We start from the raw sequence: 19,289 nt of genomic DNA on the forward strand, positions 1-19,289 counted from the left end.
AAACTCTGCCTCCCGGGTTTGAGTGATTCTTGTGCCTCAGCCTCCTGAGTAGCTGGGATTACAGGCGCCCACCAACACACCTGGCTAATTTTTATATTTTTAGTAGAGACAGGTTTCACCATGTTGGCTGGGCTGGTCTCGAACTCCTGACCTCAAGTGATCCACCTGCCTCAGCCTCCCAAAGTGCTGGGATTACAGGCATGAGAAACCATGCCCTGCCTAAAATTATTTTTTGAATTATTAATTATACAAAAATCATTAGTTAAAAATCATTAAATTTTGTATTTTTAGTAGAGATGGGGTCTCACTATGTTGCCCAGGCTGGTCTCAAACTCCTGCTTAAGTGATCGTCCCACCTTGGCCTCCCAAAGTGCTAGGATTACAGACATCAGTCACTGTGCCTGGCGAAGTCTTTACCAATTGGCAATAAGCTCTCTGGTTGTCATTACAGTTCCAACGTGCCAGGCAACCAGTAAATGATCAATAAATATTGGCATTTTGGGTGAATACATAGGTCATTAGTGCTACTGTTCTGCTTTGACTCTCATTCAGATTAGGAACGAGCTCCCCCTCCAAATAAGCAAGCAGACTAGAGACTATTTCCTGAGAATGTAATTCCGATTCAATTCAGAATTTGTTTCATATGCTCAGGACTTGGCCCTCGGAGGGCTGGGGAGAGGGAAACAAGCAATACTAATTGTAATCTCTGCCTTCAATTTTCCCCTTTTTGAACATAGTACTAGTGTTGGCCACCTCTCTGCACTGCTTCAAATCCCCCCGGTCCCTCCTCTCGCTCCATCAGTGCCTTGGTGACCACTTTCACGCAGGCTTTGCCAACTGCACATGTTCAAAGGCTCATAGGTGAAAGAGCACAGTGCATCCATGGAACTTCAAGAAATTCAGGGGAGCTGAAGCAAAGTTCATTCACGGTGGGGAGGAGCAGAGGCAGTGAGGGGAAGAAGTGAGGATGGAGGGCTCTGCATGGGATGCAGCATGAAGGACCTTCCAAGAGTGCAAAGTTATGTATCCTGATGGCAAGGGGCAGCCATGGAAGATTTTGAGTAGGGAAGTGACTTGATCAGATTTATGTTTTTAAAAGATTCCTCTTGCTGCAATATGGGAAATTGACCAGAGGGGGCACAGCTGGAGGCAGAAGTCCAGTTGGTAATTAGACATTCTCAATCTGCCTATATGTGAACATCATTAAAGAAATACCCAGAGGAGGGGTCCAAATGTCACTTTTTTTTTCTTCCAGGTCCCCTCAGTGATTCCTGTGTGCACCCAGGGTTGAGAACTACTGCATAAGAGGTCCTAGAAGATATCTGGTATGGCCAGAGTACAGAGGGACCGGAGGTAAGCCAGGAGAGACATGCAGAGCAAAGAGTTGAGGTCTCCATCTTCTGTGGGCAGCATCTGGCCTGTTCTGCTTCCTCTGATTCTCACCAAAGTGTTGGCCCAAATGATTTTTAAATTTGAATTCATTGCCATTATTAAACATATATAGATGTCACACAAAATATCCAGATTTCTGCTCCTCTAAGAAACTTGGGAGGTCTGGCCACCCTGGGCCTGCATGCCCCCATGGCAATAAATCAAGCCCTGGCTGCTGCTTCACATGTGGCATGGACTCTCCGAGCTGCCACAGCCCGGCCACTCTTTGTCAGTTCCCACCACTGCAGCCAAAAGCCAGCTGCTGTTTTTCATCTCTTACCCAGCCTGTTTGCTCATTTAAGCTAATTGTCTAGTCCCTGTTGAGATTGGAGTTTAGATCTCAAAAGCTAGACTCTACAGGGTGGGTAGGCCTGTTAATGATTTTGTTATTTACCCTGGAAGCACTGCAAAGGCATTGGAAGGTTTCACGTAGAGCAGCAATAACACAAGCAAATCTGATGTCGAAAGATCACTCTGGCTGGCCTTGGTGGCTGATGCCTGCGATCCCAGCACTTTGGGAGGCTGAGGCAGGAGGATTGCTTGAGCCCAGGAGTTGGAGACAAGGCTGGCAAGACCCTGTCTCTACAAAAAAAATTGAAAAGTTAACCAGGCACGGTGGAACACGCCTGTAGTCCCATATACTTGGGAGGCTAAGGTGAGGATTGCTTGAGCCTGGGAGGTAGAGGCTGCAGCAAGCTGTGATCATGCCACTGCATTCCAGCCTGGGCAACAGAGTGAGACCGTCTCAAAAAAAAAAAAATTACTCTGGATTGTTTAAACTCCAGGTAAGCAGCTATTTGACTAGACAATAAGGACAAATCAAGACCTCCCCCAGTCTCCTCTGGCTCTTTTATAGAAAAACCTTTATTATATTCCTGTAGTTAATTTTCAGTAAGAATGGATATTTTCACCAATATTTTTTGTCAGAAATAACAGGAGAAACAGCAAGTTAGGATGAAAATGGAATTGAACTAGATGGTGAAAGGTTTGGATTTGAATCCTAAGTGACTTTGACACTGATTCTTTTACCTTGGCTATCCTCTTCTATAAAATAGAAATAATAATATTAGACTCTCCTAAGTATCTCACAGGGTCATTGGGAAGATTAAATAAAAAAAAATGACCAGTGTTTTATAACCTTCAAAGTGATTCATGGATGTAAAATATTGTTATCATTATTCATTTATTTACCAAACTCACACCCATTCCTACTGTGTATTTGGCCTGTGCTAAGTCTGGGGATGTAAAAATGAATGAGACCAACCTTAAAGGTCTATGGTCTATTGGAAGTAGCAGTGATGTAAAGACATAATTATAGGTATATACTCAAAAGAATTTAAAACAGAGACTCAAACTCACGCTTGCATGCCAGTGTTCACGGCAGCGTTATTCGCCATAGCCAAAAAGTGGAAACAGCCCAAGTGTCCATCAACAGATGAATGGATCAGAATATGGTATGTATATTCAATGGAATATTATTCAGCCATATAAAGCAGTGAAGTTCTGACACATGCGGCAACATGGATGAGCCTTAAAAACATTACATTAAGTGAAATAAGGCAGACGCAAAAGGACAAATATTATATGATTCTACTTGTATAAAATATCGGGAACAGGCAAATTCATAGAGACAGAAAGGAGATTAGAGGTTACTAGGGTCTCGGGGGAGGTAGGAATGGGGATTTACTGCTTAATGGATACAGACTTTCTGTTGGGGGTGATGAAAAGTTTTAGAAATAGTGATGATAGTTGCACAACATCGTGAATTTAATTAATGCCACTGAATTTATGCACGTCAAAATGTTTAAAACGGCAAATTTTATGTTATATGTATTTAACTACAATAAAAAATAGCAAAAACAAATAAATGGGTCAGAGTTCAACTAAAGACAATAGAAAAAAGCGCAGAGTAAACCTAAAGAAAGAATAATGAAGGAAATAGGCCGGGCATGGTGGCTCATGCCTGTAATCCCAGCACTTTGGGAGGCCGAGGTGGGCGGATCACGAGGTCAGGAGATCAAGACCATTCTGGCTAACATGATGAAACTCCATCTCTACTAAAAATACCAAAAAATATATATATATATATATATTAGCCGGGCATGGTGGCACGATCCTGTAGTCCCAACTACTAGAGAGGCTGAGGCAGGAGAATCGCTTGAACCTGGGAGGTGGAGGTTGCAGTGAGCCGAGATCATGCCACTGTACTCCAGCCTCGGCGACAGAGCAAGACTGTCTCAAAAAAAAAAAAAAGTATAATGAAGGAAATAATAAAGATAAGAGCAAACACCAATGAAATAGAAAACAAAGAAACAATAAGCTGATTCAGGGGGAGGTAAAAGCTACTAAATAAATATGTAGTAATTATAATAAGATGTGCTAAAAGATGCCTCCAAAGTGATATGAAGAAACTCCTGAACTCCAGAAGGCTTCAAAAAAAAGACAAGCTTTTTGCAGTGTGGACTAGGGGAGGAGAGCAGGCATTTTCTAGGGCAAGGATGTGGTGATGACCATGGAGTCTGCCAAGCAGAGAGACTCTTGTTCTAGTCACCATTGTTCCCTCTTCCTAGTCCAATGTCTCCAACCAGGGTACTTAGGAAATGTTAGCTAAGTGAATAAACATTTTCCTTTAGTTCTGCAGTGTGTCTTTTGTCTATCCACAAATTTTATGACATAAAATTTCTTATGCCGTTTATCTATAACTTTGGATGTCCAATCCCACACTACAGTCTTTTATGACATAGCTGTGTGATGCTATTTTATTTTGTTTTCTTTCTTCTAATAGAGACAGGGTCTTGCTATATTCCCCAGGCTGATCTCAAACTCCTGGGCTCAAGTCATCCTCCCACGTTGGTCTCCTAAAGTGCTGGGATTACAGGCATGCACCACCCACTGCACCCAGCCTGTGATGCTATTTTCCTAAAGACACTACATGAGAAGCTCCTACCCTTTCTCCATTTCAGCTGCAAGAGGCTTTCAAAACCTAGGCCCGAAAGCTAAAAACTTCTGAACTGTTGAAATGGGGCCGGGCGCGGTGGCGCACGCCTGTAATCCCAGCTCCTCGGTGGGCTGAGGCTGGAGAATCACTTGAACCCGGGAGGCGGAGGTTGCGGTAAGCCAAGATCGCGCCATTGCACTACAGCCCGGGCAACAAGAGTGAAACTCCATCTCAAAAAAAGAAAAAAAGAAAAAGAAAAGAAATGGAAATCCACATGCAACAATGGCTATCCAAATACCTTAAGGATACATTTGAGGGTGGGTGTACCCATCTTGTGCCCCATCTCCTAGAAACTGGTGTTTGCTGTGGGCAAATGAGGTGCCAGGAGAAGGTACTATTGCTGCCTAAGGGCTGCAGCACATGGTCGTGCAGGTTGTCTACTGTACAAGAGTTCCTGGCAGAAGCAGGGAGGGCCGCTGAAAAACAGCCAGTATTCCATTTACCAAGTCGTGCACCCTGGGGCTTCATCCCCCCATATAAAAGAAGACTTTTTCTAATTAGTACAAATACGTCAGGCAGGTATGGGCTAATTGCAGCCTTGTGTCCCCAGCTGTCACCATTACTGTCCTGGCTAGGGGAGATTTAGTGTCTGACTCTGTCCCTTCAAAAGAGCCCCCTCAATTCTCTTCAGTGTCAAAGCATCTTTTCAGAAGATCCTTTCAAGCCCTTTGGTGAGTGACTAACCCACCACCGGCAGTCCACTAGTGGAGAATTACCTTCTGCCAAGAGACCTTAGTTCTGTAAAAAGGCAAAGAAAGAAAGATAAGCTGGGGCAAGAAAGAAAGATAAGCTGGGGCAAGAAAGAAAGATAAGCTGGGGCAAGAAAGATGAACTCATTCGGCCACGCTGCTCTCGCCCTGTGGTTGCTTCTTCTGCCACTAGATGGCGTCCTCGCCTAAGTACTGGAAACACTTTCCTGAGGATGGAATTTGAGAGGAAGCTGGGTTGCAGCCGCTGTCCGTGTGGAACGTTTAGCTGATCCCAGCTTCATTATTATGCGATTTGAAAATACCTGCTCATCCTGTCAAGAAATTTTATTGAGTGGAATAATTGTTTCATGGCACTCGTCAAGTTCATGCACAGCCTGTCTCCTTTTCTTCTCCCTCTGACTCCTGCAGTCAGCCGATGTTTAAACCCAGGAGACGCAGGTCAAGCCACAGGGAGCTCAGCTTCCTGACATCCACCTGAGAAATGCCAGGAGGGCTTACTGATAACATAATGGATGTCAGTTTAATAAATTCTGACTCAAGGTGACATATAGCTATTTACAGAGATATAACATATTAACATATATATTAACATCTATCATTTTAGCATTAATCATTTCGGCATCTTTTTATTTGAGGCATCATTTATATATTTAAATGTATATAAATGATGCCCCAAATAAATATACCATATACTTAAATCTATAAATATATAAATTTATTATTTATTTATATATAAATACATGGTATATTTATTATTTATATATTTATTTATTGTATATTTATTTAAATATATGAATGCTGCCCCAAATAAATATACCATACACTTCAAATGTGTGCCTTTAAATGTATTTAAAAGTGTGCCTTAAGTGTACGGTTCAGTGAGTTTAATAAATGTATACACCAGTGTAGCCACCGCCCCCATTAGGACACAGAACACTTCCATCACGCTGGTACATCGTCTTGTCCACCTTCAAAGTCAATTCCCATGAGCTGAAGAGGCTCAAGGCTCAGAGAAGAGCAAACAGTGGGTGAAGGGAGTGTGTGGCCTTCAGGCTAATGTGCACTGTAAGAGGCTAAATGAGACTCTTGATCACTCACAGCCTCTGTTTTGTATTTTCCTAGAAAAATCAAGTAATCATTTATTTTTAAGGAAAACAATGGCATTTTAAGAGCCACCTCATTTTACCTGACATTTTATTAGTTTTTCTTTCACATATATAAATGCACAAAATTCTGTAAAATATGTTTAGTCATCACTTCATGATTTGGTTCTTGTGACTTTTTTTTCACTATGCAGTTGTCAGGATGCAGCTGAGAAAATTATCAGAGCTATTCAGTGAGATCAATTGTGTATTTTGAAAATAATTTTTCCTGAAGAGCCTGATATGGTTTTGCTCTGGGTGCTCTTGGGTGTCCCCACCCAAATCTCATCTCGAATTGTAATCCCCAGGTGTCGAGGGAGGGACCTCGAGGTAATTGGATTATGGGGGCGGTTTCCCCCGTGATGTTCTCATGATAGTGGGTGAGTTCATGAGATCTGATAGTTTAAAAGTGGCACTTCCCCCCTCACTCTCTCCTGCCAACACGTAAGACGCCTTGCTTCCATTTTACCTTCTGCCATAATTGTAAGTTTCCTGAGGCCTCCCCAGCCATTCAGAACTGTGAGTCAATTAAACCTCTTTTCTTTATAAATTACCCAGTCTTGGGTGTTCTTTATAGCATGTGAAAACAGACTAATACAGGGCCAATCCAAGCATTCTTCAGCTCAGGAGTTTAACTCATTTGTCAGCTTACACTAGCTGTGTCTTTATTACTATGCTAGAAAAATGCGATGATTTCGCCTAAAAGATTGACTTCTTTAATATAAACTTTTAATGGAAGCATAACATACATACAGAGAAACACACAGCTCAATGAATTTGCCAAAAGTGAACACAACCATGTAATCAGTGCTTAGATCAAGAAACAGAATATTATCAGAACCCCAGAAACCCTTCTAGTCACCCCAAGGGTAACCATTATCCTGACTTTTAAAACCATAGATGAATTGCACTTGCTTTTGAATTTTCTATCAATAACATAAAATAAGAAGTACTGTTGTGTGCCTGGCTTTCATCACACAATATTAACATCCACGTTGTTGTGTGTACTTGTAGTTTGATATTTCTCTTGCTGTATTGTATTCCATTATGTGACTATGCCACGGTCTATTCATTTCACACACACACAAGCAAATATATATATATACAGGGTCTTGTTCTGTCGCCCAGGCTGGAGTGCAGTGGCATGATCCTGGCTCACTGCAGCCTAGAACTTCTGGGCTCAAGTGATCCTCCCACCTCAGCCTCCCGAGTAGCTGGGACTACAGGTGTGCACCACCACGCACAGCTAATTTTTTTAGACACTGGCTCTCCCTATGTTGCCCAGGCTGGCCTTGAACTCCTGGGCTCAAGCAATCCTCCCACCTTGGCCTCCAAAAGTTCTGGGATTATAGGCATGAGCCACTGTGCCTAGCCTCGTTTCACTATTGATGGACATGTAAATTATTTCGGTTATTAGTTATTACAAATAATGCTCCTATAAAATTCTTTGAAAATGTCTTTTCATGAACACTGTTACGCATTGCTGGGTCATAGGACACACATTTGTTCAGCTTAAATTGATGCTGCCAAACTGTTTCTCAGTGTGGTTCTACCAATTTACATCCCCACCAGCAGTGTATAGAGTAGCAGTTGCTCCAATCTGATAACATTTGGTATAACTAGTCTTTTTCATTTTGGACATTCTGGTGTGTGCAGCAGTATCTCACCAGGCTTTGATTTGCATTGCCCTGAAGACTAATCAAGTTGAGCATTTTTTTTTAATGTGCTATATTGGCTATTTTGATATTCTGTTTTATAAAGTGCTGTTGAAGTCTTTTACCAATTTACTGCAAAATATTTGAATAGGCACTTTACAAAAATTTAATTTTTTCTTTATTTTTAGTTATTCATTTTGAGATAATTTTAGACCTCAGGAAAAAGCCTACAAAAAATCTTGTGTTTCCTTCATCTGGCTTGATATCTCGATATCTTACATAACTGTAGCTAATCTCAAAATCAAGAAATTAACATTGGTACCCATCTTCAGAGCTTATTACGATTTTAACAATTGTCTCGCTAATGTCTTTTTCTGGGCCAGGAATCAAGCCAGGATCACACATTGTATTTACTTGCCATGTCTCCTTAAGTCTCCATTAACCTAAGTCAGTTCTTCAGTCTGTCTTTCGTGACCTTAACGTCTTTGAAGAGAACTGGCCAGTTAGTTTGTAAAGTGCCCTCAATTTGTATTTGTCTAAAGGAAACACTCAAGTTAAATATGGTTATGGATCTTTGCAAGAAATAATGTATCCTTCTCAGTTCATATCAGGAAGAACACAATGTCAATATACTTTATCAGTGGTAAAGTTAGCTTGGATCATTTGGTTAAGGTGGTATCTGTCTTGTGTCTCCACTGTACTGTTACTATTTTATTTCTCTTGTAGTTAATAAATATATAATGAGGCAATATGTAAATATCCTGTTCTTCTCATGCTTTTGCTCCATAGTGCTTTTACTTCGTTGCTTCTCTATATGATCTTGCTATGAGCCCTTTTTTGATACATGTATTGTAAATATCTTATCCTACTCTAAGTCTTGCTTACTCACTCTCTTAGTGTCTTGATGAGCAGAAATTCTTAAGTTTAATATAACTGAATTTATTTATTTTTCTTTATGGTTAGTCTTTTTTATGTCCAGTTTAAGAAATCAAACCTTCACCTACCACAAGGTCATGAAGATATTAACCTATGTGTTCTTCTAAAAATGTGTTTTCCTTTTCATGTTTGAATGGCCAATCTATCTGTGATTCATTCTTATTTAAATAGGTATCAAAATTCATTATTTTTTCACATGATATCCAACTGATCTAGCATCATTTATAGAAAAGTCTGTCTTTTCCTCACTACACTGCCAACTTTGTCATAAATCAGGTGACCAGAAAGGTGAGGGCCTGTTTCTGCCCTCTGTCTTCCATTCCGTTTGTCTATTTCTCTATCTGTATATGAATACCACACTGACTTTAAGTGTCATATTGTTGAGTCTTGATAGTTTTATATCTCTGGCATTGATCTTTTTCTTCAAGATAGACTTTGCTCTTTTTGTCGTTTGCATTTTGGTCTAAACTTTAGGATAGGTTTGTCAGTTTCTATATACATACCTCAAACTCTTGATGAGATTTTTTGGCTCATTTGAATTTATAGATCAATTTGGGAGCATTACATATTTACCATATTAAATCATAAGTACCTTCCTCCATTATATCTTCTTTATTTTTCTCAATAATATTTTTCTTTTTTGAGATGGAGTCTGCTCTGTCGCCCAGGCTGGAGTGCAGTGGCACGATCTCGGCTCACTGCAACCTCCACCACCCGGGTTCAAGCAATTCTCGTGCCTCAGCTTCCCAAGTAGCTGGGACTACAGGTGCAAGCTACCATGCACAGCTAATTTTCACATTTTTAGTAGAGACAGAATTTCACCGTGTTGGCCAGTCTGGTCTCTATCTTCTCACCTCAAGTGATCCACCTGCCTCAGCCTCCCAAAAGTGCTGGGATTACAGGTGTGAGCCACCATGCACGGCCCTCAATAACGTCTTATAATTTTCAGTGTAGTGGTCTTATACAACTTCCATTGATTTATTCCTAGGCATTTGATGTTTGACAATTTATTTTTAAAACATGACTACACGAGAAGAGAGTAACATAGAGCAGTGGTTCTCAATGGGAAGCTATTTTTGTCACCCAGGACATGTATGGCAATGTCTGGAGACATTTTTGGCACAACTTAGGGGTGGTGCTACAGGTGTCTGGTGGATAAGCAGAAATGCTGCCTAACATCCTCCAATGCCAGGACAGCCGCCCCACAACAAAGAAACATCCAGCCCAAAATGTCCACAATGCTATTCTCGGGAAATCCCAGGATAAAGTTAAGAACTTCCAGAAAGATATCACTTCATAGTCATTATTTTTATACACTGTTCATGGATTTTTATATTTCACACGAAGTGATTTACAGTGACATTTTCATCATATTAGTTTTTATTACTGGGGTGTGAATAAAATGTACTGTGTTCAGTTTATAAAAAGATGTTATAATTGTTGGGAGATAATTCTCCATGGCTTCTGTGTTTCTGGAAACCTTCTGAGCAAAAGGCATTGACAGTTTGATTCACAGATATTTGCATAACAGACAGTCTTGGAAAGATAAAGATAGTGACTCCCTGCAAAGAGATTTGGAGCTGCCTCTTCCTGAGATATTCCAGGGTAACAGAGCTAGAGACCGTGCCCTTTATTCCCTGAAGATTTGCTTACATTCTCCAGGGAGGGGCCAGGCACGATGGCACACACATGTAATCTCAGCACTTTGGGAGGCCAAGGCGGGAGGATCGCTTGAGGCCAGGAGTTTGAGACCACCCTGGGCAACATAGTGAGACCGCACCTCTACTTTTATTTAAAAAAAAAAAAATTCTGTTTTTTAAACCCAGGAGGGCTGGGCATGGTGGCTCATACCTGTAATCCCAGCATTTTGGGAGGCCAAGGTGGGTGGATCACCTGAGGTCAGGAGTTCGAGACCAGCCTGGCCAACATGAGGAAACCCCATCTCTACTAAAAATACAAAAATTAGCCAGGCATGGTGGTGCATGCCTATAATCCCAGCTATTTGGGAGGTTGAGGCAGGAGAATTGCTTGAACCTGGGAGGCAGAGGTTACAGTGAGCCGAGATTGTACCATTGCACTCCAGCCTGGGCGACAAGAATGAAATTCAGTCTTAACAACAACAACATCCAGGAGGATAAGCAAATTTGTGAGCAGTCTCCTTCTAAGATGGGGGTTTCTGAGGTTCAATGTTCTTCAGCTGTGACATAGACCCACTGTCTGCTCAGTATCCACCTGGGCCTGCCTCCACATGGCCCCTATGCGACTTGGAGGTAAAAGAGAACCTACGTAAACATGCTGCTCATGCTGCCAGCTGCACTGTAAGAAACTGTCTAAATCTGTTTGGGTGTGTTTTCTCCTTACTGGTTGAATCTATGGAAGATTGGTAAATTGACCTAACAGCTGCAGTAATCTCTGCTGCTTAGGGATTGCTTGATAATGACCCATTAGCAAGGCCTACTGCCAATGTAGGAACGGGAGGAGGCACTACTAATGTCATATATTCGCTTTCTCCATCCAGTAGTGATGACAGGGAAGTGCTGCTGGGTAAGGCAAAATTATGTCTCCACCAACAGTTCCCCAAACCTGCCTTTTAGGTCGATGGGTTTGAAGTGCTGGCCCTGAGGAGTGCTGGCCTCAAGAAGCCAAAAGCCACGATGTCACTATTTATATTAAAATTCATGAGTTTGTTGTAGTCACCAGTAGGCCTCCCTGTGTCTACCAGGATGCAGAAGGTAACAACATAGGGCCTGGTTCCATCCCACTCAATGTTTGAGACTTATTTCCTGGAGGCTGGGTCCTAGTTTTATTCTTGGGGTCTGGAGTCTCCTGCAATGACTGGGTCTTTGTTAATTAACTTCAGCACAACTGGCTCCCTTCCCTTCTTGCATGAGGCTTCTCAGACCTCTAGTGGACTTTTCTATCCATCTGCCAGACCTACCCAGACTTGCTCGAACTTAGCAGTGGCCACAAACTTAGCTCAAGCTGAAAGCTCTACTACAAAAACCTGTATGAAAGAGCTGAGTGATGATGCTGACTCTCGCCCTGGACTATTTGCAGCTGCTTTGTTTTTGAAAATAGCCAACTTAACTGCAGTCACTTCAGCGCAATCCACATCCACCTAGAGTATTTGTGAAAACAAATGAGACCATGTTGACCCCTATGATCAGAGCTTATTTTCATAATGATGGCTTGGTTTGATGACGCTTGAATATGAGCTGCGGCTCAGCAGCAGAAGGGCACAACCTCAAAAAGCAGATGTTTTTTAAAAAGCCAATAATTGAATTAAAAAAGGCTTCCTTGTCAGCTGTCATGCATCTGAGTAAAGGGTGGGGTAGGACACTTCCTTGGAAGCAATGATCTGCAAATGCATTATTTGACTGTCAAACTATGCTGAACTTTATACTGATATGATGCAAATGATGAACCTCCCTGTGGTCAAATAAGGTTTCTCTTTTTGTTGAGCTGCAGCAGTTCATGGCAAGGAAAACAGGTTTTGGGGAAGGAAAGAAAGGGTGTCGCTCCTTTGGGGCAGGAAAAAACAGAAATACCAAATGCTGATGCTATTTCTTAGTTACATTTTCTTTTCTTTCTTTTTTTTTTTTTTTTTTGAGATGGAGTCTGGCTCTGTCGCCCAGGCTGGAGTGCAGTGGCACGATCTCGACTCACTGCAAACTCCTCCTGGGTTCATGCCATTCTCCTGCCTCAGCCTCCTGAGTAGCTGGGACTACAGGCGCCCGCCACCACGCCCGGCTAATTTTTTGTATTTTTAGTAAAGATGGGGTTTCACCGTGTTAGCCAGGATGGTCTCAATCTCCTGACCTCGTGATCCGGCCGCCTCGGCCTCCCAAAGTGCTGGGATTACAGGCGTGAGCCACCGCGCCCAGCCCTTAGTTATGTGTTCTGTAGAATATTAGATTTTACCCTTGATGGGAGTGGGGTTGTGGGTGTCGCTCGCTGTGTCTGTAGATCAGGTAAACGAGAAGTTCTGAGAATATCTAATATCTGATATCTAGAAGTGATATAAACTGGGCAATACCTCTTCCCAAACAGCAGTAGAGTTCATCGAGTAAAGAGTATTACAGTGTTGGCTGGGCGTGGTGGCTCACGCCTGTAATCCCAGCACTTTGGGAGGCCAAGGCAGGCGGATCACCTGAGGTCGGGAGTTCGAGGCCAGCCTGACCAACATGGAGAAGCCCCGTCTCTACTAAAAATAAAAAATTAGTTGGGCGTGGTGGTGCATGCCTGTAATCCCAGCTACTCTGGAGGCTGAGGTAGGAGAATCACATGAACCCAGGAGGCGGAGGTTGCAGTGAGCTGAGATCGCACCATTGCACTCCAGCCTGGGCAATAAGAGCAAAACTCTGTCTCAAAAAAAGAAAAAAAAAAGATTACTACAGTGCCAAAAGCGGACCTTAGTCAAGAAGCGGTGCTGATCGAAGTCATGTTGCTTATCAGTTACCTTGCTATGCCATACATTATTTAGAGGCCCAGGTTGGATGTGGAGCAAGCTGTGGGTGCCACCTTTTCCTTGGAGACCATGATCTGTGACTTTCTTAAGGTCACCAGTTAGGAAATGGTAAAGTTGAGATTCAAACTCCTATTTTTATTTTGGAATTTAGTGAGGTTTTCTTTGCAAATAAATATGTTGTCAGTTTTTGTAAATGTTTAGTAGACAACTGAAAAAAATAGCCTTTAATAGTAAAATGAAGCATTATTAAAAACGCTTGTTCTTGTAGATAGAGTAAATTTTCATCTTTAGGGATATTGAGGCAAAATGTTTATTTACTTAATGAAAATTAACATCTGAATTAGTCTTAAGATTTACTGGAAAATAAAACATGAAGAATTATTGGTGTTAAGCTATTAATCTGCTATAACAGCTGTCATCTTAGATCTAACACCAGAAAACTGTTGGTAAAAATCTGCAATTTGGCTGGGCCTGGTGGCTCACACCTGTAATCCCAACACTTTGGGAGACTGAGGCTGGAGGATCACCTGAGCCCAGGAGTTTGAGACCAATCTGGGCAATATAGTGAGACCCCATCTACAAAAAATAGAAAAAATTAGGTGGGCATGGTGGGCATGCCTGTGGTCCCAGCTGAGGAGCCCAGCTCAGGAGGCTGAGCCAGGAGGATCACTTAAGCACAGGAAGTTGAGACTTCAGTGAGCAGTGATTGCACCACTGCACTCCAGCCTGGGTGACAGAGTGAAACCCTGTCTTAGAAAAAAAAAAAAAAGAAAAGACAGGAAAAGAAAATAAGGTGTTTTCTGTGAACTCTAGTCCAGTTCATAAATATTAATTCTGCCTTATGAATAATAATATTCAGATTTGTCCATTTTTGGCCTGTTTTAATCTATGAAAGACAAAGCAGAAGCTGTTTAAAATTTACTTTTGCTTCATACTGTAAAACTTAAAAAATACTTTCTTCTTTGACCTCTTAGGTGTTATGTTTTTTATGTTCCCGAATTTTTTTTACAGTTCTATATAATTTTTTATGCTTACTCATCCTTGAAGGTTGAAAACTCTATCCATGCTTTGCATTTGTTCCAATATGGGATGAGCTATTTTTTTTTTTTAATCTGGCCTTACTGAATCAATGAGCTAATTCTTTTTGGCTCCCTGCCTGTCTATTTTGATGCTCTTAGAATCTTCCTCTCATTATCCTAGGCTGCAGGGTTGGGTACCTTCCAGCAGCTTGAAAGGATGGTGGAGGAAGCCATCTGGCAAGGAAAGTCACCCTGGCAAAGTTTCTTCTCAAGGCTTTGCTAACCCACTGTCCCAAGGAGCCAAAGGTTATCTGGCCTCTAGTCTCTCCTCCTCACTGGCCAGCAGCCAGACTGGACGTGGCCTGGCCATCCTCCTGAGACTACCATTGCCAATATTGTAACAGTGAGAGAAATCGAACATAGCTGACTCCATCTTGCTTCTGACCTCACAAGCTAACTGCCTTCGTGCATTCCTGCATGTAGACTAAGCTAATCATGGAAAGAATTTAGATTATAGTTTAACTGTAGAACTAATGATTACCTCTGTTTTGAAATAGACCCCTGAGGAGATAAGGAAGTATGCACACAACATTTAAACAATGCTGTCTTGACGATTTATAGCAATAACGTGGACCTGACAAGCATTTGACCATGAACAAAGAAGTTTTGCAACCTCCTTGGAGCCCTGCTGATGCCCAGATGTCTGTGGTCACCAGTCACCTCTAGACCTTAACCCCTCTCTGTTCTCCCTTCCCCTAACATAAAAGGAGCCAAAAAAATCCATGAACTTAAGATGATTCTTTAGGACACTAGGCCACCATTTTCTCAGTTTGCTTGTTCCCCCCAAAAAAGTCATCTTCCAGCCGGGTGCAGTGGCTTAAACCTGTAATCCCAGCACTTTGTTTCTCCGGTTTTTGAGATAGGAGGGGCCCTCTAGTAGTGTCAACTTGAGTATAGTGTACCCACAGTTTTATTCCAGCAAACTTCACTGATGAGTGGGTATTCAGCAACATCTCAAACAATCCCATTCACTTGTTCCTTCTAGGTGTCATTCCACAGTCACCCCTTGTCAACCCTGCCCAGTTCCACTGAAAGTAGCCAAATGAGAGACAACATCCTGTTGTCCCCAACTCCACAAGATTATGGAATGAACCTTTGATACTGGGGAATTGTAACAGTGAAAGAAATCTAACATAGCTGACTCCATCTTGCTTCTAACCTCACAAGCTAACTGCTTTTGCTCATTCCTGCCTGTAGGCCAAGCTAATCATGGAAAGAATTTATTTTATATTTTAACTGTAGAACTAATGACTATCTGTCTTTTGAAACAGACCTCTGAGGAGGTAAGGAAGTATATACACAAGTAACAATGCTATCTTAAAGATTTATAGGAAAAGGGTGGATCTGACAAGCAGTTAACTATGAACAAAGAAGATGTGCAACCTCCTTGGACCCCTGCTGATGCCCAGATGTCTGTGGTCACCAGTCACCTCTGGACTTTAACTCCTTCCCTGTTCCCCTTTCCCCCAACATAAAAGGAGCCTAAAAATCTATCGACTTAGGGTGCTTTAGAACACTAGTCCACCATCGTCTTGGTTTACTGGCTCCCTGAAACAAAGTCATCTTCCTTGCCCCAACACCTTGTCTCTCAACTTGTTGGCTGCTGTGCAGTAAGCAGTATGAGCTTTGGACTCAACTGCAGTATCAGAGGGGAGACTTGCCACTCTGGGAAAAAAAAAATCCCCTATTTGCATGTCTTGGGCCATTTCAGTGAGTATTTAGAGAGGAGATTCAGAAGTCTAGGCTAAAACCCAATTTTACCTGGCAGTGTTCTGCTTGTCTATCGCTCCAAAAAATAACACTCAAAATTCAGGGGTGTGAAACAATCACAATCATTTATTATTATCTCTCATGATTCTGGTGATTGACTGGGCTCAGCTAGTTAGTTCCCACTCAGAATGTGTCAACTGGCTACCATGAGACAGCGATCATACTGGAGTGGCCTTGAAGGCTTCCTAGTCACATGTCTGGCACTGAGACAGGGAAAACTCAAACTGCTGGGGCATGAAACAGCCAAAGCTCCTTGACTCTTTATTTTCATGGGTTCTATTTACATGATCTCTGCAACATGGTGGTTTCAGGGCTGCTGTACTTATATACTCCAAAGGCACATGTTCTGAGCAAGAGAGCTAACCGATGCCTAGAGCTAGATGACCAGGTCTCCTTTTAAGACCCAGTTTTGAAAGTCACATAGCATTACTTTGGTTGTGCAGTCACAGAAACCCATCTAAGAAGCCTACCTGGGTTCAAGGGGAAAGGACTTAGATGCCACCTCTTGATTGAGGTGGGGGGCAGGGTTTTTGGAAGAGCACATGGGACTGAACATATTGTTGCTGCAATTCTGAAAAATACAATCTGCAGCAGGAAGTTTAATGCAACTTGTAGAATTAATAAATGATTGTATACCATTAATAGTAACACTTCTTGACACCTACTCTATGAGAGTATCTAACTCATCGAACCGTGTGAGGATTAAATCATTAATATCATATATTTAAAGCACCTAGAATACTGACTGGCACATAGTAAGTGCACACAGTAAGTAAATGTTAGCTGTACTCTATAGTTAAGAAAAATTAGAAGTCTGTAACTATAGTATTAACTAATTACCCTTCCCCATCATTCAATTCTCAGTTGTTCATTCTGCTATTCCCTTTTTTTAGAAAAAAGTTTCTTGGTTTATGTCCTTGTTTAGGTGGAAAAGCTTTCACCATCTGAAAACTTCTTAAGAAAAGGTACATGGGAGATAAACATTTTGAAATTGTACGTGTCTGGAATATATTTACCCCCACATTTGACTGCTAATTTGTATGTGTATGAGAATCTATGTTAGAAATAATTTTCTCTCAGCATTTTATTTACTTATTTATTTAATTTATTTAGATACAGAGTCTCGCTCTATCACTCAGGTTGGAGTGCAGTGGTGCCATCTTGGCTCACTGAAACCTCCAGTTCCCAGGTTCAAGTGATTCTCATGCTTCAGCCTCCTGAGTATCTGGGATTACAGGTGACCACCACCACGCTTGGCTAATTTTTGTATTTTTTAGTAGAGATGGGATTTCAACAAGTTGGCCAGGCTGGTCTTGAACTCCTGTCCTCAAGTGATCCACTCACCTTGGCCTCTCAGAGTGCTGGGATTACAGGTGTGAGCCACTGCACCCAGCCTACTCTCAGCATTTTAAAGACATTATTCCATTGTCTTTCAGTTTCATGTGTTGCTACTGAGAAATCAGATGCCATTCCGATTCTGGATCCTTTATGTGAAACCTTATTTCCTCCTGGGTACTTGTAAGATCTTCCCTATGTCCTCAGTCTTCTAAAGTTTTATCACAATGTTGCCTTGGTGTGGTTCTGGTTTTGTCCATTGCACTATGCTCAGTGAGCACTTTCAATGTGGAAATTCATGCTCTTTAGTTCTCAAAATATATAATTGAATTATTTAATTCATTTCTTCCCCTGTTTCCCAGATGTCCAAGGCTGGCTTTCTAATCTTCTTATCCTTTCTTATTTCTTTCCCTTCTCTTTGCCTTCTGTCTATGCATTCTAGGATATTTTCTAACTTTATCTTCTTAACATTCTACTCAGTTTTTTATTTTTGCTATCAGATTTTTAATTTAAAAGAGCTGTGTTTGGTTCTATGAGTGTTCCTTTTTTAGGGTATTTATTTATTTACTTATTGAGATAGTGTCTCGCTATGTCACCCAGGCTAGAGTGCAGTGGCTGTTCACAGGTGTGGTCATAGCCTCAAACTCCTGGGCTCAAGTTGTCCTCCTGCCTCAGCCTACCAAGCAGCAGGGACTACAGGCTCATGTCATCGCACCCAGCTTTTCTGTTTTATTTGATCTTTCTCAGAGAAGATCAATAATAGATTTCTCAGTTTTCTTCTCCCCCTATACTCTTTTTCTTCCTTTTCTCTTTTTTCCTGTTAGCATGTTTTGGGTTCTGTTTTTAATGTCAGATCCTTCCCCTACATTGTGATGACCTTCAGCTGCCTGCTCTTACTTAAGTGTGCCAGATTTAGCAACAAAAAGAAAGAAAAAAAAGACAGGACATCTGGTTAAATTTGAATTTTAGATAAACAATGAATAATTTTTAGTATAAGTATGTCTCATGCAATATTTGGACATACTTATAGTACATAAGTATTTTATATTTTAGTAAAACATTAATTGGTGTTTAACTGAAAATCAAATCTAACTAAGTGTCCTGTATTTTATCTCGCAACCCTAAGAGTGAGGTCTACAAAGCTGCCTGGAAGCCCTGAGTGCGTGTGTAAGTGGGTGGGGCTTGACAAGGGTGAGTTTACCAACAGGTTGCTCCAGTTTCATTGCATAAATGATTACATCTCTTCAGGTCTTTCCTCTTAGATTCCCCAAAGAAAAGTATTCCAAACTCTCCAGCCTGGTGAGTTTGAACTTGGCTGCCAGAGTTCTAGGAGCCAAGCGGGAAGAATACCAAGCAGCTCAGTAGGCATCATCTTAAGTTTCATATGGCTCTTCAATTTCAGTACAGTAGCCCTAGTCTTGTGTTAATCTCATGGCCTTGATGAAAGATGGCTGCAAATTCTTTGCACCCTCCCACCCCTCCCCACTCAGGGATGGAGCCTAATCCCCTTCCCTTAAATCTAGACTGGCCCTAGTGACTGGCATGATTTATAGAATGCAACAGAAATAATGTTCAACAGCTTCCAAGCGTGCATAAGAAGGCTTGTAACTTCTGCCTGGATGTCTTGGAGTAAACTTTCTGGAAACCCTGAGCCTCCATGAAGGAAATCTGACCCTGAGCCTGCCATGTGAAGGGGCATGTGTAGATGCTCTAGTTGACAGTGCCAGTTGAGACCAACCTTCCAGCTCTTCTTATCATGGTACCC

The 19,289-nt window shown here is 41.7% G+C and overlaps 1 protein-coding gene across 7 annotated transcripts in view, besides 1 other annotated feature; it reads left to right on the forward strand.

Annotated features, from left to right (window-relative positions):
- ANXA4 (annexin A4) overlaps nt 1-19,289 on the forward strand; it is a 183,305-nt gene that overhangs the window by 75,711 nt on the left and 88,305 nt on the right. For all 7 annotated transcript variants that reach the window (XM_047444083.1, XM_017003943.2, XM_024452835.2 and 4 more), the window contains one exon: nt 1,256-1,353. The gene's annotated coding sequence lies outside the window, so the exon portion shown is untranslated. The remainder of the gene's footprint in view (nt 1-1,255; nt 1,354-19,289) is intronic.
- Nucleotides 5,191-5,240: an enhancer, noted in NCBI's record as "active region_15976". NCBI's record gives its function as "activates an Ori minimal core promoter by ATAC-STARR-seq in GM12878 lymphoblastoid cells {active_cell/tissue: GM12878}" and the evidence as "EXISTENCE:reporter gene assay evidence [ECO:0000049][PMID:35858748]".

This window comes from Homo sapiens, chromosome 2, assembly GCF_000001405.40.
Source record: "Homo sapiens chromosome 2, GRCh38.p14 Primary Assembly".
Taxonomy (NCBI): Eukaryota; Metazoa; Chordata; class Mammalia; order Primates; family Hominidae; genus Homo; species Homo sapiens.